Source organism: Homo sapiens, chromosome 9 (genome assembly GCF_000001405.40).
Source record: "Homo sapiens chromosome 9, GRCh38.p14 Primary Assembly".
In the NCBI taxonomy this organism is placed as follows: Eukaryota; Metazoa; Chordata; class Mammalia; order Primates; family Hominidae; genus Homo; species Homo sapiens.
The window spans coordinates 31,165,154-31,166,507 of NC_000009.12; positions in this window are offsets into that span (position 1 = coordinate 31,165,154).

The window sequence follows — 1,354 nt, forward strand, 5'->3', positions numbered from 1 at the left end:
ACCTCATGGATAAGAAGTGTTGTTAGCTGTGGAACTTTGATAGCAAAGAATTCCATTTGGACATGGCACAGAAGGGAAGAGGGACCACATAGCTGTCCATCAAAGCAGGGATGCACAGGATAGAGGGCCAAGCATACTCAGCCATTGCCCCTATGTGGACCCTAAGACACTGCTCGCTCCTTAAGTCAGTCACAGCATCTGAAGACATCAAAACCAGATTGGGCAGGGCTGAGTCACAGCTGCCTAAGGGTAAGCGAAGAGAGAAAAACAGCCCTTTGACCCAGACCAGCCAGAGGATCCCAAGGAGGGAGAAACCAACACCCAAAGTCTGACTCTTGTTTGGTCATCTATCATTTCAACTGATCCTGAAGGGAAGAAAGAAACCCCTCACCAGGGGAAAATAGCCTAGGTGCTGAGCCAAGATGAAGAGTGGCAACCCCAAGCTGGTTCCCCTCCCTCTTAGTGTTGTCTCTGTGGAGCATTGCTGTTGGTATCATGCTTGTTCCCTAGTAGATTCAGAACTCTCCTGGTCTTCAACTGTCCCTTCTTGCCTTTGGGTTCAGATTTTTTCTAGAACTCTTTCTTTTTTGTCATAGTTTACAAATTCTGTCTTCCTCTTCCTCCCTCGCCTGGTCCTCTTCCAGGCATTTGAAGATGATGTTGCACTGCTAGATGAGAATCACAAGCTCCTGCATTTGCATCATCTACCACCCCAGTCTTCCTTGATCTAGTCTTTTTCTGGCTTATGGAGAAGGCATTGGACTCCCACCACACCAGAATGTGCTTCTTGTGGATGATATATAGAAAAGCTTGGACTCCAAACACAAGTCTGTCAGCATGGTATCCTAGCCTTTGTCATTGACTCCATCAGGAAGCTTCTCTTCAGCAGAAACTCATAGTGTTTGAGAGAGAATCCATAGTGTTTGAGAGAGAATCCATCTAGCACTTGGTAGTGTCCACCTCTTTGTGGATGTCTCCTTCATAAGTATACTGGTCAGTCTAAACCTTGCATTTGGTAAGGAGGAAGTCATGCCCTTGAAAGGGCAGCTTTATTGGCTTGGATCCCTTCGTGACTTTTGTTGCGATTGAGATGTTTCAGGTGATACCTTCTGCTTAAAAAGATTGTCCTTGCTGGAAAGCTTTACCTGACGTCCAGGGACCAGGTTCCAGATTCCAGAGGAAGCACCACTGCACTAGGGTTGCCAGGAGCATGGATGACAGGATCTGAGGAGGTATTTGGCATAGCTAAAGGCTCCAGATGGAGGTTTCAGATGACAGGCTGTCCGTACTGAGTGTTGGTGACAATGTGGCCAAGGCCAACTCTGGATGCAAGGGGCAGGAGATGTGAAGAGTG